The 21321-nt window shown below is 42.6% G+C and overlaps 2 long non-coding RNA genes across 6 annotated transcripts in view; both read left to right on the plus strand.

The window, feature by feature from the left end:
* DSCR8 (Down syndrome critical region 8) overlaps positions 1–6101 on the plus strand; it is a 35061-nt gene extending 28960 nt beyond the window's left edge. For 2 of the 5 annotated variants that reach the window (NR_026838.1, NR_026841.1), the window contains exons 3-4: positions 4023–4119; positions 5894–6101. This is a non-coding gene — a long non-coding RNA (Down syndrome critical region 8). Of the gene's footprint in view, positions 1–4004; positions 4120–5893 lie in introns of all 5 variants that reach the window. The other 3 variants (NR_026839.1, NR_026842.1, NR_026840.1) reach the window with 2 other exon arrangements.
* A 428-nt stretch (positions 6102–6529) lies between these two features.
* On the plus strand, positions 6530–21290 carry LOC124905020 (uncharacterized). Its single transcript, XR_007067862.1, has 3 exons — positions 6530–6675; positions 18759–18858; positions 20388–21290. It is a non-coding gene; the product is annotated as an uncharacterized LOC124905020 (long non-coding RNA).

A 21321-nucleotide genomic window follows, 5' to 3' on the forward strand; every position in this document is an offset into this window, starting at 1 on the left:
CTGGGAATATGTGGACTGTGTCTATCAATTTAAGAATGTTATATATGGAAACATAATGAGTATTATAAATAAGTTTTAAAAACCTATGCACACAGATAATGAACTTCAGGGACATTTTAAATGAATTTTCCTTGTTTTTAGCTGAATACCCAATAAGAGTCTAGGTATATTATAGGTGAGTGATCTGTGCCCTTGATAACCTTGAAATTTGGAATTTTTGTACTGAATAAGATTCATGCTAAGCATTTAAGGGCAGTCTGTTGGATTCATGGCAAGTGTTATCTATTGGATTCATAAGATGGATCTTGGAGAACTTTTTATAAATAGATAATCCCATGTGCTATACCTGTGAGATTCCTAGAGCATAGAGATAATCGCTCTTTCACCATTGCCATTTATAAATGTGAAAAAAGTCTGAAAACTCAGTGAGGAGCCTTAAAGAATGTCTAGGCACCCAACTCTTGATGCATACAAGCTACCCAGTGTAAGAATGTGCATCTTATGAATACTGAATATTCAGCATTGGTTGAAAGGTGTGTGGGATAATCGTGTGATAGTGGGAGGAGGATGGCCTTTATTATTTGTAAATATGATATTTAATGCAACCCAAGTTTTAATTTTAAGCCATTTCTCATTAGTGCATCTTCATATGAAATTTGAATAGTATGAAATCAATTATGCAGAGGAAAAGTACTTGACTATTGATAGGAAGAAGGAATGCTGTATTAGGAGTCAGGAGACATAGCTCAGTACTTACTCAGTATGTGACTTTCAACAAACAATTGTTCCCCTCTAAGCCTCAGTCTCCTGAGTTGTAAAATGAAAGAATGACACTGGATCCTGTTTCTAGGTTCCTTTGCACTTTCAAAATCTTTAAGAATCTTTTGTTGTTGTTGACAAAAGGATTTAAAGAGTAGGGACAAGTGACCATCCATAAGTGATGAAAAGAAAAGTTAACCCAAGAGATACATAAAGTGGGGAAGCAGCAGAGTTACAGTTGGAGAAACCAGGGAGTGAAGTCGAGGTGTGCCACATTCCCTCTAGATGACTCTTGAAGGGTTGGGTTTCTCTTCTGTAAAACAGAGACCATAGCTCAGAGGTTTGTTATAAGGATTAAATGAGATAATGCATAAAACATGCTTCCAGGAATAAAGAATCATGGAAGTGAATAAGGAAGAAAGGAGATGGAGGAAGAGGAGGAAGAGAAAATGACTTAGAAAATGTGTGATTAACTAAGTAATTAATCCTTCTAAAACTTTCACATTCAGCCAAAGCACATTTGTGCATACAACTCTCATTTGTCTACCTTGGAATAATCAATTTTGTGAGTTATTCACAGAAGATGAGTGAACTCAGCCAGGTTTTCTAATACTCTGCTACCTTCTTGTTCACCTATTTTCTGACTAGGAGGCATGTAACTCAAGTTTTCATCAGCCTAAGCCCAACCACATTTTGGAGACATGTCTGCATCACAAATTATCTTGGGCTTTCAAAAATCAAAAATAAACCACTTTACCAAAAATCAATCCCACTCCATCACTTTGGTTTCTCTGTGCCTTGTGCGCCATTATTGGCATGAGGAGTTGTGAGCTAACCGTGCCACATTTTCAGGAGCCTTTGTGCCATCCTGTTTCAGCCCTTGACAGGTGCTCCTGCGGGGTTCTCAAGCTTTCCTTTTGATTTCCCCAGGATATTATCATTGTGGCTGGTCAAGGGAGGGGACATCCTGAGAAAATCAGCCAACAGTTCCTCCTGGAAAATCCAAGCTCTCTGATTAGAGGGGCAAGAAATCCAACTGATATGTATTTAAGCACTTTTATAGAATTCCCGCTATGTGCCAGGTGCACATAGTTCCTAGGTAATAGGATGCAGCAGCCAACTAGCTGACCAAGTCCTCTTGAAGCTAACATTTTAGTGGAGAATGTAGATAACCCCTCAAAAAATTAATAAAGAAGAAATAAAATTTTTGATAATGGGATGTATTATGAAGAAAAATAAAAGCAGGGGAAGGGGCAGTGAAAGTGATGGGGTGGTCTGGAAAGGTCGATCTGAGGAGGTGATTTTTGAGATCTGAATGCAGTGGGAGAACAAGCCATGGGGAGGAATAGAGAAAAAGCAATGGAGGCACAGAAAATATTAAATACACAGTGGGTGGAAACAAACAATTAACTTGGCCAGTGCAGCTGGAACAGGGTAATGGTTGAAGGACGGAGCCCATTCAGGTAGGCAAAGGTTGGAGTTTCAAGACCTTGTCAGCTAAAGTAAGGGGTTTGGATCTTATCAGAATTGAGATGGTAATCTATTGAATGGTTTTGAGTTGGAGAATGATGCAACTTATTTGCATATTAAAAAGATTACTCTGACTAACATATTGATAACAGACTGTCATGAGACCAGAGTGGAAGCTGGTTAGTAGATGACTGAAACTGTTTAGGAGAGAGAAGACCGTGCATTTCACTAGAGTAGTTATAGCAGGGGTAGTGTAGAATAATGGGATTCAGTACATATTTTGGAGAAAAATCCAGCCTGACTTTTCGCTGTGTTTATGTGGGACGTAAAGGGAAAGAAGGAGTCAAGGATAACTGCTAGGTTTCTGTTTTTAGCGACTGGGTAAATGGTGGTGGTGTTAACTGAGGAGATGAGGTGCTGTATCAGTGAGGACTCATGCAGGAAAAAAGGAACCACTCCAGGTGTATTAAGTATGAAGTGGTTTAATAAAGGGAATCGAGTGCTTTCAAAAGCATTGGATTAGCTGAGGAAACACAAGTTAGAGAAGGTGCCCGGTAGTATTTAGTTCTGCTGTCACTGCTTGGGCCAGTGAATTCAGAAGTTGTTGCTACCACTCAGATGAGGAAAGTAAAGGAAAACTAGTGCTGCCCTACAGCACTGAGAAGAGTAACTGGAATGGATCACCCAGAAGCCACCGCAAAAACTCTTGTCTGCCAAAGCTTTCGTGTCCTACATTGATGCATGGGGAAGAAGAGTATGTTCTGTGCTCTTTCATCTTTGAAATCTCTCACTAGTGCACCTCATTAGCAGAATATAGCTGCAACCAGAAACTGAAAGGCAGAAGAATCTGACAGATAAAGTTTCCAGCCTTTCAGCTGGCATTGCAAAAGAAAGCATATAACACAGGACAGAGGAGAGCAATAGAATCTTGTAGGCTAAGGGACAGATAATAAAATATTTGTATTGTTATGTCATAAATCTGTGTGTCTATCGGACATCCAAGCAGAAGTGTCAAGTAGGAAGTAGAATACACAAGTCCAGGAATCATGGGAAAGGTCAAGGATGGAAATATAAATTGGGGAGCCATTAGAACATAAATGGTAATTAAAGGCATGCAAGTGGAGAGTATTACCTAAGGAGTAAGTGTAGATAGAGAAAGGTCTTAGAACTGAGCTCCATATGCTTCGGGAAAAACTTGGACATTGGGGAAATTAGGAAGCACTTCTAGGGTTAAAAGGACTGAAGGCCGTGCACGGTGGCTCACACCTGTAATCCCAGCACTTTGGGAGCCTGAGGCGGGTGGATTACTGGAGATCAGGAGTTCAAGATCAGCCTGACCAAAATGGTGAAACCCCGTCTCTACTAAAAATACAAAATTAGGCAGTCATGGTGGCATACACCTATAATCCCTGTTACTTGGGAGGCTGAGGCAGGAGAATGACTTGAACCCGGGAGGCGGAGGTTGCAGTGAGCCGAGATCGTGCCATTGCACTCCAGCCTGGGCAAAAAGAACAAAACTCCATCTGAAAAAAAAAAAAAAAAAGACAAGTTGGGACTGGGACCTGAAAGAAGCTCAGACAAATGGCTTACATATTGCAGTCAAGACTACAAGAGGGCTTAGAGGTCAGGAAGAAGAGGAGATGCCAGTCAATGCGACTGACAAGGTGGGAGAGCAGTCTACAGAGTATGGTCCTCTGAAAGTCAAATGTCAAATACTGATGAGAGTTATGTTTTGTTTTGCTTTTGTTTTTGCTTTTGTTTTTGTTTTGAGACAGTCTCTTTCTGTCACCTAGGCTGGAGTGCAGTGGTTCAATCACGGATCACTGCAGCCTCCACCTCCCAGTTCAAGAAATTCTCATGTCTCAGCCTCCTGAGCAGCTAGGATTACAGGTATGTTCCACCGTGCCTGGCCTGATGAGAGTTTTTGTTTTTTAAATTAAATTAAATTAAATTTTACGTTCTGGGATACATGTGCAGGAAGTGCGGGTTTGTTACATAGGTAAACGTGTGCCATGGTGGTTTGCTACACCTATCAACCCATCACCTAGGGATTAAGCCCAGCATGCATTAGCTATTTATCCTGATGCTCTCCCTCGTTTCAGCCCCTCGCTGACAGACCCCAGTGTGTGTTGTTCCCCTCCCTGCATCCATGTATTCTCATTGTTTAGCTGCCACTTGTAAGTGAGAACATATGGTGTTTGGTTTCCTGTTCCTGTATTAGTTTGCTGAGGATGATGGCGTCCAGCTCCATCCATGTCCCTGCAAGGGACATGATCTCGTTCCTTTATATGGCTTCATAATATTCCATGGTGTATATGTACCACACTTTCTTTATCCAGTCTATCACTGATGGGCATTTGGGTTGATTCCATGTCTTTGCTATTGTGAATAGTGCTGCAGTGAACATACGCATGCATGTATCTTTATAATAGAATAATTTCTATTCCTTTGGGTATATACTCAGTAATGGGATTGCTGGGTCAAATGGTATCTCTGGTTCTAGTTCTTGGAGGAATTGCCACACTGTCTTCCACAATGGTTGAACTGATTTACATTCCCACCAACAGTGTAAAAGCATTCCTGTTTCTCCACAGCCTTGCCAGCATCTGTTGTTTCTTGACTTTTTAATAATCGCCATTCTGACTGGCGTGAGATGGTATCTCATTGTGGTTTTGATTTGCATGTCTCTAATGCTCAGTGATGAGAGTTTTAAGAAGATGGAGTATGAGAGTTCAACACTGTATTTGGCCAGATGGAAGCCGTAGGAAACCTTAAGCAGAGTAGTCTTCAAAATCTTGAATGAAGTGGATGGAGGTGGGGATAGAGAATGTGCAGTGAGCAAATAAAGAGAGAATTTACACAATTCTTTGGACTCATTGTGATGTAATATAAAGAGAGCAGAAAAAAAGAGCAGCAGTTGGAAATGATGTAGAATCTGGGGAGAGACCTTTTAAAGAAAGGTGATATCAAGGCTTGTTTGTGGACTGAGAATGATGTGTGATCTTGGAAGTCAGCTTGAGAATGGAGCAGTCAAGACACAAATTGGTTGGCAGGTCATGATCAGCATGAGAGGAATCTCTATCCTGCTTCCAGGCTATCCTTGGCACTGTGATTTTTAATAAAATAATGCACTGACTTTGCATTCAAAGAAATTACTGGACAGTCAAAATATACACACATATGCAAAAATTGAGGAGCAATTTCCCATAAGATGTAAGCAAGAGTAATAGTTATTTTATGTTATTTCTGTAAGTGTTAGTGGCAGTAAGTAAAGAATGAATTGTAAAATTGTGACAGGGAAGGTAGAGGAGTGCTTTTTGAAACCTATTTTCCATTAGATCTTAAAGAAAGTTGAGAACATAAATTTGTGGAGAAGTGAGGGTGAAGATTCTTAAGGGAGGCAGAAGCAAGATTTAATAACAATGCAGAACAAGGAATCAGCAAAACCTGTTGAAAACGTCAGAAAACTTAGGGGAAGCTGGAGCAGAGGGTTAGAGTTGGGAGACCTGAGTGAGGGTCTTGGCTTTCACTCAGTGTGCAGTCAGGATCCACCTAATGTGGAATAACCATGGGGTTCTGGAATGGGCTGAGACAGTGACATATTTGCCCATATTAGTGGATCCATGAATCATTTTCTACAAAGTCTTCTTGTTTTGTTTTTCAGACAAACCTTGGAAATCAAGAAAGTTCTGGAATGATGAAGCTGTTCATGCCAAGACCGAAAGTGCTGGCCCAGTATGAGTCCATTCAGTTCATGCCGTGACAATTTTCTTGGAACTCCTTTTTATTGTTAGTTCTCACTTGTTTCCATATTTAGTGAATGTACATTTAATTGCAAAGCTGTCATTAATAAAAATTCTTATAGTACCTCACTGCACAAACATCTTTCCTGTGTGCTAGGCATTTCCAAAAGCAGAATCATTCTGTATCTGATTTGCATCATCTTATTTAAACCAAGACAGTATTGGCCATACTGTCTACCAAAACAGGCTGTAAGAAATTACAATAATTTTTGCAGCTATAGGGTAACAATCTATCTCTTATGGGTTTCCAGAAAGTGTTCTGCTCTATATGATTTTAAGAAAACTGGGACATTGGTGGGAGGATAGTAGTTGGGAAATGCTTCTAGGATTAAGAGGATTGAAGTTGAGACTGGAGGTAAGCTTAAAGGAATGGCTGAAGTATCCCATCAAGACATCATAGTGTCATTATAATGACCATGTTCTCTTGTGAATCCTCACCAATGGTATAGAATCCTTTGATTTCAATTTCTACCACTCTGGGAAACCCCTAGGCTTGTGCTCCTGGTACATCAGCCCATTTCATGGTACGTTGAAGCATGCCTCCCTGTGGGATTGCTGGATTCCCAGCCCAGTGAGGTAATGACCAAGCAGCGTCTTCAGAGGAAGGATAGCTGTACAGCGTGGTGAAGGACTCAATGAGAAGGTAATTGATGCTTCACCTTTTCTTATTTTCTGTAAAGTAGGGGAATATGAGTCCTCCACTGTGTGCTTTTTTGTTTGTTTGTTTGCAAGCAATCAAAATTCTTTAAGCTTCTTGGAGGATGGGATTTTCTAGAAACTGAAATTTTTAGGGGTGGTTGGGGTCTAAGCAATCCAGAGAAATATGAATGCAACCTCAGGGGAAAAGATGAAAGGTGCTAAGGAGGAGGCAGAATAGTCCTATAAAGAAAAGGCACACACATACATGCACACACACACTGAGACTCACACGTATCTTGTTAAAAACATTACAGCAAACTGGAGTTCTTAAATCCCCAGTGCATAGAGCTTTGGGAGGGTAATTCTGTTAACTTAAAGGGTAGTCCTCTGTAATGAATGCAGTTCTTGTGCATACTCAGCTACTGTGCTCTAATAATGTCTTACTGAGCTTGAGGATCTGTCAGGCAAAATATGCTGATCTTCTGTACCCTGGGAACTTTCTCCAAGTGAGGTCACACTGCTGCCCAGCTCAGTTCTAGGACCGCTCTGGTGATGCGATTTTATTCCATGTCCGGCGATTTAGAAAACACAGAGTTTTGAGTTTGGGTTCCTTCTAATGAATCCATTAGTGGTTGTGGTGGGTTTCATTGATTTCTTCCTGATGATTTGTCTTCTCTTTAAAACTGGTGCTATTTGTGGTTTAGTGATATGTACTTGTAAGGATTTGGGTCTGATGTTTGGTCCATCAGCCAGATCATCTGCAGTTTGGGATTCTTGGTAATCTAAGACCCAATGTCTGACCCCTTCTGACCTCATTCTGTACATGCTGTTTAGTTACAGTATGAGCTTGTTCCTTAAACGTTCCAACAGCCACTGGGCTTTCAACAAATGTAACTGAATGAAAGACAAATCTTTCCTGTGCAGATTTGCCTGTCTAAAACACAGAGTTAAAAACACCTCTCATTACCTCCTTATAATTATATGCTTGGCCTCCTTTGAAGCCAAGGTATGGCTTTTCAAGCCAGTTGCCCTGTGACGTGAGAGGGCAGCACCTTTCTGAAGACGGTTCTCACTACTGCTACACCTTGTGCTGCTGAAAGCAGCAGGAGCTCTGCAGGTGAATGTGATTTCTCTGTAGCTGCCCAAGGCAGGGCCCTGTATCCTATGGTTGCTCAGGGGGACTCTTGGGCAGAAGATGCCTGCAGATCAGCTTTGTAGTGACCTCCACCATCCTGGTCTCAGCCATTTTTCCTTGGCACCATCCAGGCCGAGCTTATTGCAGCGAGGACCAAGATGTCCTCATCCTCAAGCATGCCTCATGCAAATAGAGTGAAGCCGGCTCATTTCCAGCATTTTCTTTCTGACATTAAATGTTTTTCTGGCAGTAGGTTTAATATTACTCTAGGCAAAACCCTAGGGTTTTACACAAATCATTTATCATTTGGACGTAATTCTCACTATTTAAGCACCTCCAGTTTCTACGTTATTGAATGAGACACTGTGGCCCTCACCCTTCCATCAGGATGGATTGGGTGAAGGGTCTTATCTAAAATTCCCAGTGTGCTCTAATTGTCAATCAACAATTCAAATTAAACAAGTGACCTCCACTACCTACAGGATAGACTTGGTGCAAGTCTAGTTTTAGTGTGAAAAGCAATTTCCATATAGACATAGACCATAAAGGGGGGCTCCTGTAAGGGTCTGAACAATAGGTCATTGTATGTGACTAGAAAAGTGGGGAGAAAAAAACAGAGAAATCTCCCTACGGGTGCAGCGTTTTTGGTTTTATAGAAAGAGAGAAAAACAACTCTTTTTGAATCAAATCATCAGGCACAAAAAACAAATGCTGCCAGAGTAATTATCCCTGGAAAAACTCAGTCCTGAGGGCTCTCCACGCCATAGGCTTCCTGATGCCACCTGCAGCTCATCCCAAGAAAGGGTTGGAGATGCATCAGCAGCCTTCGGCAAAGGGGAAACACCGTGCAGCAGGGCTGACTTGGCAAAGAGGCACCCCCAGAGGAATGCGAGGTGCAGCTTCTCTCCCTTTCCTTCTTGCCATGTGCTGAGAGCCCATGACCCCAGGATCTTTCTGCAGTCCTTCCCCTCAGGTTGCTTAGACAAGGAACTTAACTGCACTTCAACTACTGAACAGTAGAATGGGGTCCTAATTGTAACCCTGTCATGGATTTTGAAGGATTTAATGAGACAATCAATGGGAAATGCTTGGCACACAGTATGCCCCCAAGTCAGTGAAGTTGCTTCCATTCCCAACCTCGGTCTTCAGTCCCTGGTCATCTCACAAGCAACTAAGGACTCAACATTAATTCAAGGGACAGATCTGATTGGAGGGGCCTCCAAGATGAGGGAAGGTCCTCTCGGCCACTAGGGGGCACTAACTACATGGAAAACAAGCACTGAATTTCGGGGACTTGCTCCACTGCCCTGCAATGTAAATCCTGTAACTCATTTAATTTTCTTGGAGCAAAGTTTGGGAATGGTTGATACAGATGGTGCTATTTCTGCTTGGGAAGGTGGTTACACTTACATGTCAAATGAAGAAACTTTTCTTAGCTCCTCCCTGTGACTCACCAGCTCCAGCTATTATGAACTCATACTTTAAAATATTTTTTTCTATTCAGCCCCATTTACTTTCAGTCCTCTTTCTTCTGTATTCTCCAATTCCTGGAAAAATAGACAATATCCTTAGTTGTGTGGAAGAGGAAGAAGAGTTATGTAGAAGAAAGAAGCATCCTTACTGTAAAATGTTTCTGACTTTTTGAGCCAACCACGTCTGGATCAGATGTTTCCATCTAGAGTCATACCTTTTCATAGCCTTTTAAACCTGGCTCATGAGAGGAAAGAGAGAGTGCAATGTCCCTGAGATATCTAGGAAACCATGGAGAATTTCTTATCAGAATTAACCCCTATTGTTTTGAAAGTAACTAGATCCTAGGAAGCATGAGATGCCACGGGCTTCCCAGAACCCATAGCAGGTGAGAAAGAACTGGAATACAGGGTGAGGTGTGATGAATCGAACTGCTTTTCCCAGAACACAGAATACAGCCAAGGTATGAAAGCTGTTCCCCAGAGGGGAAAAATGTACACTGGCCAATGAGGGTGCATCCAAGAGCCTGTAGGCTTTCTTGGGCATTGATTAAACCAATATGCCAGGCATCACCTGCTTGAGAATTACTAGAGATGTTTGTCAAACCCCCAGTCCCTGGAATTAGACTACCTTGATGTACATCTCAGAAATATGCAACTACTTTGAGGTGGTTTTACATTTCCTAAAATTTAAGAACAATTGCTCTAGAAGATAATAATTCTACCTCCACTGACACTGGAAATACATGTAAGGATGGCTCTGCATGTCCTTCATCACAGCAAGTTGACATTTTCTAGAATCACTGAAAGGAATTATTGCTATAAAAAAATCCAATCCAACAATAAAGCCCCAGATGATCAGAATTGTTCATCCCGAAACTCTTCATGTCCCAGAATTGCACATGGTGTCTGGGACACTTGCTGGAGTGGATTCCTGTGATCGGTGACCTCCCAGTTTGTGTGCCGACAGGGCTTAGAGCTGCAGGCAATGCAGTTGCTACACGGTATCTCAGTGTCAAGAATCAACAGTTCCATGGAGCCAAGAGGGTGCAGGTTGGCAGTGGTTGGGTGGGGGGATCTGTTTGCAAGACGGTGTCATGGAGCCTTTCTGTGGCATTGAAGGAACAAAGATACAGGGGCACAAAGGACATGGCACTTTGTGCTGCTGGCACTGTTTCTACATTGAGTGACCTCCCCAGGAAATCCCCACTGAAACACAAGGTGAGTTTTGCCAGATTTAAACAAGATAATTCCAGTGAGTTTATCAGGAAGTGGAAATGGAGAGCTACATTGGAAATCTGTTTTCAGACATCCCGTGTCCATTTCTGTTTCTGGAAACCACTTCTAGATGAACCTTGGACTCAGTTCATCTTCCCTTTGCTCTACATTCTCTGATTTCCAAGCAATAAAACCAACAGGGCTGTATTTCTCTGGACAAGACCCTCACCTATCAGCAGAAACAGAAAAGCAAATCCTCCCCGAAACAGCAGCTTGGGGAAGTGGCCCATTGGATGCCTTTTTCTAGGGCTGTACTGTGAGAAAATGTCTTTCATTGCATCTACCCAATGCTCAAAGTTACTTCTCATTGAGAAGAAATCATAGATTTGACAAAATTGTGAGTGAACACTAAAGAACCTGTCTTCTGGAACGTACCTGTGAGGTGAAAGGAAAGGAACTTATGTTTGGTGTGTGGACTGGTGGGATGCAGGACAGGCTTCATCAGGGTGTGACTTGTGCCACTGCACAGGGGCCCATGCTCAGAAGAGCTTTGCACTTGGTTTAATGCCCTGATGGCACCATCCTGAAATTCTTTTTTCTTTTTTGTTTTTTGAGATAGAGTCTCATTCTGTCGCCCAGGCTGGAGTGCAATGGTGCAGTCTTGGCTCACTGCAACCTCCGCCTCCTGGGTTCAAGCGATTCTCCTGCCTCAGCCTCTGGACTTGCTGGGACTACAGGCCTGCATCATCATGCCCAGCTAGTTTTAGTATTTTTAGTAGAGATGGGGTTTTGCCATGTTGCTCAGGCTGGTCTCAAACTCCTGACCTCAAGTGATCCGCCTGCCTTGGCCTCCCAAAGTGCTGGGATTACAGGTATGAGCCACTGCGCCCAGCTGGCCATCCTGAAATTCTTAATACTGTGTAAACAAGGGTCCTGAATTTTCATTTTGTCCTGGGCTCCACAAATTACACAGCTTGTCCTGGTAGGACTGCATGGTGGGATTTGGAGAGCTCTGGATTTAAAATTAGGCAGTCTTGGATCAGATCCCGCTCTTCTACTTAGTAACTGTCATCTTAGACAAGTGATAGCATCCTCCCTCCCAGCCTGAGTTCTCTCATCTACAAAACAGAATTACAAACAGAATCCCACCTTTCTGGTGGGATTGTTGTTAATACTGAGTGAGTTCACCTGGCATATACAGCTAGCCTTGACCCTGGCATGAAGTCAGTAAATGCAGATAATTTGTACTCAATTTAAGTAAATTGTATGTCGTTCTTGAAATATATGTGAGTGACCTGCAATTTAATATAATAAAATATGTATTTCTTGAGTTGCTCTTACATGTACTATGCAAAAGTTCATATTTACAATGCATTATCATGGCTAAATCATAAATATGGGAAAGTCAGTTAAATAAGACTTTAAAAGAAGAACCCAAGTCTAGTCACCTAACACTTACGAGGCATTTCTCATTGAGAAACCGGATTATCTTTTATAGCCTCTGGAGACTCAGAGCCTATCCCAGGTTCCTACACATCCAAGAACAAATGTGTCCTGAGCAGATGAATGAAAGAGTAAGTGGACCCCTCAGGAAAAGAGCGTTTTTAACACCCTGAATTAACCTCTCAATATTCCTCTAACAAGAAAAAGTGTTAGGACACTGGGGCCTTAACATTAGCTTTCCTACTCACTGAGTGATCTTGACAAGTTACCTAAACTTTTATTTATGTATTTATTTTTGAGACAGGATCTCACTCAGGTTGTCAACAATCGAGGGTCATAGGTTCTTCACCCAGGCTGGAGTGCAGTGGCAGGATCATAGATCACTGCAGCCTCGACCTCCCTGAGCTCAGGTGATCCTCCCACATCAGCCGCCCAAGTAGCTGGGACTACAGGGACACCCCACCATGCCGAGCTAATTTTCTTTTTTTTGGAGATGGGTCTTTGCCATATTGCCCACACTGGTCTCAAACTCCTGGGCTTAAGTGATCCATTCACCTTGGCCTCCCAAAGTGATGGGATTATAGGCATGAGCTACTGTGCCTGGCCATCCTAAACATTTGGACTTCAGATTCGTTATTTGTGAAATGGAAAGTGAAGTCATCATAAAATCTCTTTCAACGTATTGGAAGGAAGATTAAATAAACTTATAATAGGTGAACACTTTTTGTAAACTCTACAGTGGTGTACAAATGGGATGTGTTAACTTTATATACTGTTGTTGTCAGTCCAGTGATTCCCAAAAGGTGACCAGGGAACCCTAGCTCCTCAGGGATAACAAGCAAAGCCAGTATCCTTTTCAGCCTCAGAACTTACCAGAGCCTTTGATGTGCTAATGAGCACTGGAACACTCTGTAAAAGAGGAGCATGGTTTGTGGCATTTCCCAAATACATTTGTCCAGAATCTTCTGTCAGAGAACTCCTTAAAGGATTCACGTTTTAGTGGGGCACCCACTGGAAAACACTGGGCTATCATGTGGACTGGGCCTACATGGGTTTATTTGGTAGACATGGTGCCCTGCTCACCCATCCTCTTCAGCCTCTCTCCCTCGTCATGCAGGCAGTGCTTTCCTGAAGAGTAACAATGAGGAGATGGGAGAAAGTAGATTATCTGTTTCTTAACTGGCTCTTTACCTCTCAAATAACCTTCCTCTTTGGGGCATTTTTGCACAGTTCTCTCTAGATTTAATGCATTGAGGGCAAAATAATTAACCCAAGACTGATTGCCATAGTTATTATTATTGTTCTCCTCCTCCTCGTCCTCCTCCTTTTCCTCCTCCTTCCTCTTTCTCTTCTCCTCCTCCAACTTCTCCTTCTACTCCTGCTCCTGCTCCTTCTCCTTCTTCTTCATCTCTGTCTTTTTCTTCTCTTCTTCCTCCCACTTCTTTTTTTTAAACTCAACTATGTGATGATTTCTTCTTTTACAACAATTTTATTGTCATAGTTTGGCATAGTTTACAAATTTTCAATGAAATATAAACCCTAAAATTTAAAATATTGCTCTAAGAATTTTTAAAAATAGAGTCATCTTTAAGTGCAAAGGGGCATATTATTCAAATTCAATTTTGAAGTTTATGTTTGTACCTTTCCTGGGGTTAGGGGCCATTTTAGAACATGGTAATCATGGACAGTATCTGATGGTACTGGTGGCCATTTCAATAGCTGTTAGCTGCAAATTCAACAAGTATAGGATACCTGTCTCCTTCTTGGGACTTTCATGGCATACCCCTTTTCCCAATAATGCTGTGTGGTAAAAAATAATAGTAATAATAATGCTGTGAGGTTCAGAGAGACTGAATAACTCTCAAAAGTCATGTAAAAAAGATATATGACAGAGTTACTATTTGAACAAAGGTTTTCAGACTCCCAGGTATTCCCTGCAAAGAGAAGGTATGAGGAACAACCCCTTTGTCTCTGTGACCCCACAGAAGCCTCTGGGACCCCACTTTCTGATTCTTCCTCCTATTCCTTTTTGTCTTTGATCTGCTTCTATTTCTCCTCTCCCTTTTCCTCTTGTCTTTTATCTGATCCTTGCCAATCGTGCTCTCCAAAATGAAGAACCTATGATCCCTCGATTGTTGACAACCTGAGAACATTTCTTGCCCTACCCAGGACAGAAGGAAATGACATAAAAACATTTTATTCATTGGGTGAAATGGGATTATTTTTGAGCTGCTCTGTTCAACATCAGTGAGGCTGCTCAATAAAGAGAAGAGGAAACCTGGCATAAAAGAAGAAACTGGGCTTCAGCTTTGCATGCATATACATGTTTATTGCAGCACTATTCACAATAGCTGCAAAGACATAGAATAAACCCAGATGCCCATCAATGGTGGATTGGATAAAGAAAATGTGGTACAATACACCACGGAATACTGTGCAGCCATAAAAAAAGAAAATTATGTCCTTTGCACCAACATGGGTGCAGCTGGAAGCCATTCTCCTAAGTGAATTAGTGCAGAAACAGAAAACCAAATACCACATGTTCTTACTTATAAATGAGAGCTAAACATTGGGTACCCATTGATATAATGACAGGAAGAGCAGACACTGGGGACTCCAAACATGGGGAGGGAGGGAGGAGAGTAAGGACTGATAAACTACCAATTGACTACTATGTTTACTCCTTGGGTGACGGGTTCAATTGAAGCCAAAACCTTAGCATCATATCCATATAACAAATGTACACATGTACCCCCAGAACTAATATTTTTAAAAAAATAAGAAACATTTCCTCCCAGAGACAGTGTCCTAATGTGGTTTTATCAGAGTCGGTTCTTCCTGGTGGGAGATAATAAATAATGGCATCTTATCCAGAAGACTTCATCAAGTACCTGAAGTTTACTCTGGGAACATCTGGGCTGTAGCCCCTCCTTCCAAGGAGCTCTGGGATCAACTTCTGATACTGAGAAGCGTGAAGTTCGAATTCAACTTTAGCCTTGTTATGCTTGTGTGTGCACTTTCACACTTATTGTTAAGGGATTCGTGAGTGGCTGAGGAGAGGAGACACAGAAGACTCCCTTTCTTTGTAATGTGCAAAAAACCATAGAGAATCAGTAAATGCAGATGAATGGGAATATAAAGCACTTACTGTTCTTATGGTTCAAAGGTTTTAGAACAGGCACATCCACCTTTACTCAGCCACAACCAAGAAGACTGGAATTCAGAAGCACACTCGACCTCTAAGCCTGCCTTTCTCATCATGCTGTCTCACACTTCTCCCTGGATAAATAAAGGCGACCTGTGCCCTAGCATTGATAATGATGCTGGGGACAAAGTCAAGCTCCGACAGTGTTGGGACAGTCTCTGGAGTCTGCCTGGGCCCTGGCGCCTGAAATGGCCTGGCTGGTCCTTAGGCCGGGCCACCTTGCCTGCCTGTTTTCTGGTTTCTTTCCCTCCTGGGCCATCTGTTTTTCACCTGCCTGATGGCTGCAGTCTGCTTTCCATCTGGTCATCGTTCCAAAAACATGGGAAGCAGAATATGACAAATGGTGATAAATGGAAAGAAAGGAGTCACAGAGGTTTCAGCGTTGATCATCCACAGATTTACCAGCCATTATAAAATTTGGCTCCTGCTTATTCATTTTCATCTGCATGCCAAAAGCAATCGATTGTAGAAAAGACCCGCATTCTTTGTCTATTTTACTTGCCAAGTCAGTTGGAGTCCAGATGGTGACACTGACCTTTGCAGAGTTCCTCATTCTTCCCAGGAAATGTACATTCGAGGAAAAGTCAAGCCTCTTACCACTTTAGTGGTACCATTAAGAGGGTGGTTGGGGAACCTGGATTATTTTAAATGCATACACGCACACACACCAAGCCTGGAACATGCTGCTTGCTCTTATCATCAAGAGTGTTATAATTTTGGGCTGGCTGGAAAGCAAAAGCTCCAAGTTAGAAAGCAATCTGTTCCACCCCTGCCCCCTCACCCTCCCTGAAGCCAGACGGCTGTAGTGCAGCTTTCTCCTCTTCAGACACACACCGGGTTGGAGCCTGTTAAATTGCATCGGCACTGACTGGACCTCACAGAGGCCCATGTTCTATGCCCCTCCGGGAACCCTCATTGGCTTTTGGATACTTTCCTTGCTACTCCGAGTTCGCCAAATGCTGTGATAGACCCTTGTAAGGTCACAAGAGTGCAACAATGAGAGAAAAAAAAAGCTGTGATTCTAAAACTGAACCACACTCCTACATTATCAGGATTTTTCCATTTTCCAGTGAGAGTGGAATAGAGAAGACTTTCTGCCCTGGAGCCTGGTTCCTTTCCATGGATCTTAACAACAGGGGGAAATAGTAGACCCTGCACCTGCAGGAGGAGGAGGGTCTGGGGAAAGACAAAGCTGGGATTAACCTCATGCTACTAGTTATAAAGAATGATTTGGAAGGATCAGTATCACCCAAATTAGCTATTTGCCAAACACTGAATATCTATCAACTGATAACCACCCTCTTATTATTGAAATAATTTTGTTTTCATAAATCCAGTTCTAATTCAAGAAGATGCCGTTTCATGTGAACTCCATCAGATTACAGCTCTCCAGGCACAAGGGGTCGCTGGCTTAGAATCAAAGCACATGTCCAGATTTCCTCCTCCTCACTTTTCTTCTTGGTTGTTTATAGATGCGAAATTCTCTTTCCTTGCTTCTCCATTCTGTGGCTTTAGGGATTTAGAAGAACAAGAGCTAAATCCTTACTTTGTGTCAGGGTCCGTAACAAAGGCTTCACACGTCTTAACATGTTGAGTCCTCAGAGCAAAGGCATGGAGAGGGATATACTATTATCATCCCCATTTTACATATGAGGACATCAGGGCACAGATAGGTTAACTTGCCCAAGGTCACAGGCTAGTATGTGTGGGTTTGAACCAAGGCCATGGAGCTCCAGGATTTGTGCTCCTAAACATGTTGCTGTGGTCCCCCTTAGAATGTAGAGCAAGAGTTCTCAGCTGGGGGTGATTTTGCATTTGGCAGGGGCCCTCTACTTTAGCACTGTCTGGAGACATTGTTGATTGTCACAGGTGGAGAAGCACTCCTGGAATCTCGTGAGTGGAGGCCAGGCTGGAGATGCTGCTAAACATCCTCTAATGTACAGGGCAGCTCCCCTCAGCATAGAACTCTCCTCCCTCAAGTATCAATAATGCTGACATTGAAAAAAACCCCGATGAAAAGAAATCACCGGACACATACACAGAAATGTACACAGATGTATAAATAGTAAATCAATCAATCAATCTATCTCTGTTGATCCACCTATCTAGCTAGCTACCTATGTCTTCCTTCTGCTCCCAGAAGACAGCTAAAAGGTTTACTCTTTTGAAAGGGCCTTTAAAGTATTCACTATTTTGAAAGCTTTTAGTAGTAATTTTCATATAAGAGTTATAGAGTAAAGTGATTTACAAGTTATTGTTCCTTGAAAATATAGTGGTGTGTGTGTGTAGTAGGGATGGCTCCCACTTTAGTTCCTGTGGACTTTCCCTTTGGCTGTGGAAAGTCCAGGTCATTCCCTAAGACCTTGTACCTGTGATTTTTGTCTCCACTTGGCCTTTGAGAAAAAAGCTGGGCCAGGACAGGTCATCTGGCCAAGGCCAAGTTCTCAGTCATTTTAATTCTAATTACATCCAGCTTACATTACACATTATGTTAATATCACACTCCATCATGTTACAGCAATATACATTATGTAATATATTAATAGACATTACCTATTCTGTTATTAGCACATGACATTAATACACCTTATATTAACACACATTAAATATTACATCAATACACATTACATGCTACATTGACAGCACATTACAAATTACATTAATAACACATTGCAAATTACACTAATGCATACTACATATCACAGTGATGCACACTACCTATCACATTAGTAACACCTTCCATATTACATGATTAACACATTACATCTTATATTTATACACATTATATATTACATTCATAATGCACTCGATATTACATAACACATTACATATAATGTAATTATATGGAATATATGATTAACACATTACATATTGCATTAATGCACATTACACATTATATTAATATGTACATCCTGATGCCTGGTTGAAGGAAGCTCATTCTTTCTGGAGTCCCCAACTCTAATATTCCTGGTCACCTCCAGTCCTAGTTGTCACCTGCAGCTGATCTAGACAACGCTGGTTTCTCAAAGAGCTGACAGTTCCCCCAAGGGCAGCTCCCTCCCAGGCAAGCACAGGCCCCTTGGCTGCCTGGGAAGTTCTCCATGTTCTTCACCCTAGCTTGCTTCACGGCCCACAGACATCCCCTTTGTGCTGTGCTTACCCAGTGGGGTCCTGGTCCTTTGGGGTCACCCCCACAGCTGCTCTACTACAGCCTACATGGCTGACCAGGGAGACAGGTGAAGCGATGTCAGTGCTTGACAACTCACACGGCCCAGCGAGCCATTCCTCAATGCTGATCAGTTCCCACAAGTAACAGGCTCTGGCTGAGTGAAGGAGATGGTGCAGGTGCAGGTCAAGACAGGGTCACTGCCCTTCTGGAGCTTGGGTCTAGCAGGAGAGCGGAGTAGAGGTAAGACTTTAATTAAAAGACCCATTGATAACTTGGAATTAAGGGTGATGTGCTGTTATATCTAGCTGTGAGGAAAAAGATCATTTGGTTTCAGTTCTTAGACCTGGGTGCTGGGCTTGGGGAAGCTTGTCCAACTCTTCTTTCCCTCCAGGTGAGTTCTGTCTTGAGGCCTCTCTTTCATTTGTTCCCCCTGCTCTGTGGTTTCTAGGTGCATTGCCCATCCTTCAGAGAGCTCTGTGTGAATCCATAAAAGGTGCTTAAAGCTTTTCACTCCATGAAGCCTCATCTGTCTCATGAAAGCAATAAATGTAAGTGGACATTTGGGAGGAAATGTTTGCTTTGCATGCTCATAACTGGATGGCTCATTTGGATGGAGATTGCCCCAGACATCCATGTAAGTCCTCCATCCTAGTAGACAGCAAACTACTGCAGCACGAACCATATTACATTACTAACACACTACAAATTATACTGATACACACTACATATCACAATAATTCACATTACATATTACATTAGTAACATCCTCCATATTACATGATTAACTCATTACACCTTATATGAGCTGGTTTGTGCTGCTCCCTATGTAAGCACCCTCTGTAATTCCATCAGGATCTCAAAGGTCTGGAGCTCAGGTTCAGCCACAGTACCTGCAATGCAATGAAATTAATGGTATTATGATAGTAATGATATGATAATATTAATGCAGGCTGTTGTGCAGTACACCTACTAAGGTTCTGGGAAATAGAATCCACAAGACATGATATACACCTTATCCTTCCTTTTCCTCCAAAACACTGCCACGATCTATCAACACCATCATTTAACAGATGTTGAAAGAAAGACTCTAAAAAATAACTTGCCCAAGGCCAGTCAGTGAGTTGGCTGCAAACTCTCTGTCTTTCCCCATTTCTTCCTTTTCTCTATTCCACGTAGTATTTAAGTCATCACCTCCTGTTCACCCCACAGTGCTCAGCTCTGCCACCCCTCACTCACTGGAGCACCAGTGCTCAGGTCACCCACTATGCCTACCTTGCACATCCCACCTCTGGCTGCACCCACAGGCTCACGCTAGGCAGGGAAGGGCAGGTAAGGGCATCAGGCATTGTGCCCTTCCATAGCCAGGCTCATGGAGGGCTTTCTGAGCAGAGATTCTAATTCTGCCAGCTGACCTGGTAGAAGCCCCCAGGCTGCAGCCCTGTTCTGCCCACTTCCACTCCCATGCATAGGGACATCCACAACATCCACACTCCAGGTAACTGAATCCACCTCCCCACTGCAGCATTTCAGAAGATGCTAAGTGCAGGATGAACCACACACTTCCTTCTCCAAACTGGGCCACTTTTGAGAGTAAAAGAGGCATTATTAATAACTGAGACAACAGGTGGATGCTGGACATATGTCATTCACCCTGTTTGACAAACTCCTGTCGCCTCTCACCAGCAGAGGAGGCTGTGAGACCAGAAGACTTGGAAGGAAGTGGCAGGCACTGATTGTTTCTAAGGGAGCTGGGTTGGATCCTCGTTTTGTGTGGTTGGGAGGCTGGCAGCTGGCAGTCCCCTCAAGCCAAGCATGATGTAGTGGGGGTAGGTTATCTTTCTTCTCACTGCCTTAGTGTCCTCAGGATTGCCTTGGGGCCACTTTTCTTGTCATCAGGAAGTGAGCAGGACCACAGCTGATGACCCTCAGCCTGTCATTTTGGTGCAATCCAGGGTTTAACTGGCCGGGGAGTAAAGGGGACTGTTGCACCATTCCAGGCTGGCTGAGCCTTGTATCTCACCTCCCCACATCTCTGTATCCCTGGGGCTAAATGGGGCTGTTTCCATGCTCCTTCTAGAAGCTTCTCCAGCACCAGCCTTCCCCCAAACCAGAACAAGAGCATTGATCTACACCCAAGAGGAGCAGGAATCAGCAGAAACACAATGGAACAAACTGATATGCCATCTAGTGGAAACACAGAAAGCCTCAAATGAAAATCTCAGCCAAAATGAGGCCACTCAACCAGTGTCCAGTGAATCAAGTTTCTGACAAAAGTCAGCTAAATCAAACACCTCTGTGTTTCACCCTTTTTGATGGCAACGCCTTAAATGTGACTGCTGCTCAGAAAGCCAAGTAAAGAAAATATAATGGGGCTGCTATTGGCTCATTCCGAATCAGGCATTTTCTCTCAGGTCAGCATTTGGGATCAGAATTTTGATTACATAATATTGTCGAAGGCAACAGAAAAGGACCATTGACTCACAGGGTGTTACAGCTGATAAAGGACTTCAGAATTAATCAACAAACATTGAGGCAACATTAACTAAAGGTCAAGAACTATTCTAACCACCTTATAAATATTTATTCACTTAATTCTCACAGCAGCCCTATATATAAGCACTAGCATTATCTCCACTTGACAGATAAGGAAACTGAGGCATGAAAAAGTTAAGAAAGGTGCTCAGGGACACACAGCTGATAAGGCTTCGCACCCGTTTGGTTAGGCTCGGAAGCCACTGCACCATGCCCAAGGTCACAGAGCAAGGAGTCCAAGCAGTATTTCCCTTACTCAGAGATATGAATAGCCAGAAACACTTAGGATGTTTGGTTTTACAACCCACAACCTCCTCCCCCACCTTCGCCAAAAGATAAACTATTTTCTTTTTTTCTGGAACTTACCTAACATAACATAATCTACATAAATCTACAAAATAATGTTGTTCATGAGAAAGGCATATTCGATTCAAGCTTATCCACCTTAAACTGCTTCTGCATAACCAACCTAGACGTAT

This window comes from Homo sapiens, chromosome 21, assembly GCF_000001405.40.
Source record: "Homo sapiens chromosome 21, GRCh38.p14 Primary Assembly".
Classification (NCBI taxonomy): Eukaryota; Metazoa; Chordata; class Mammalia; order Primates; family Hominidae; genus Homo; species Homo sapiens.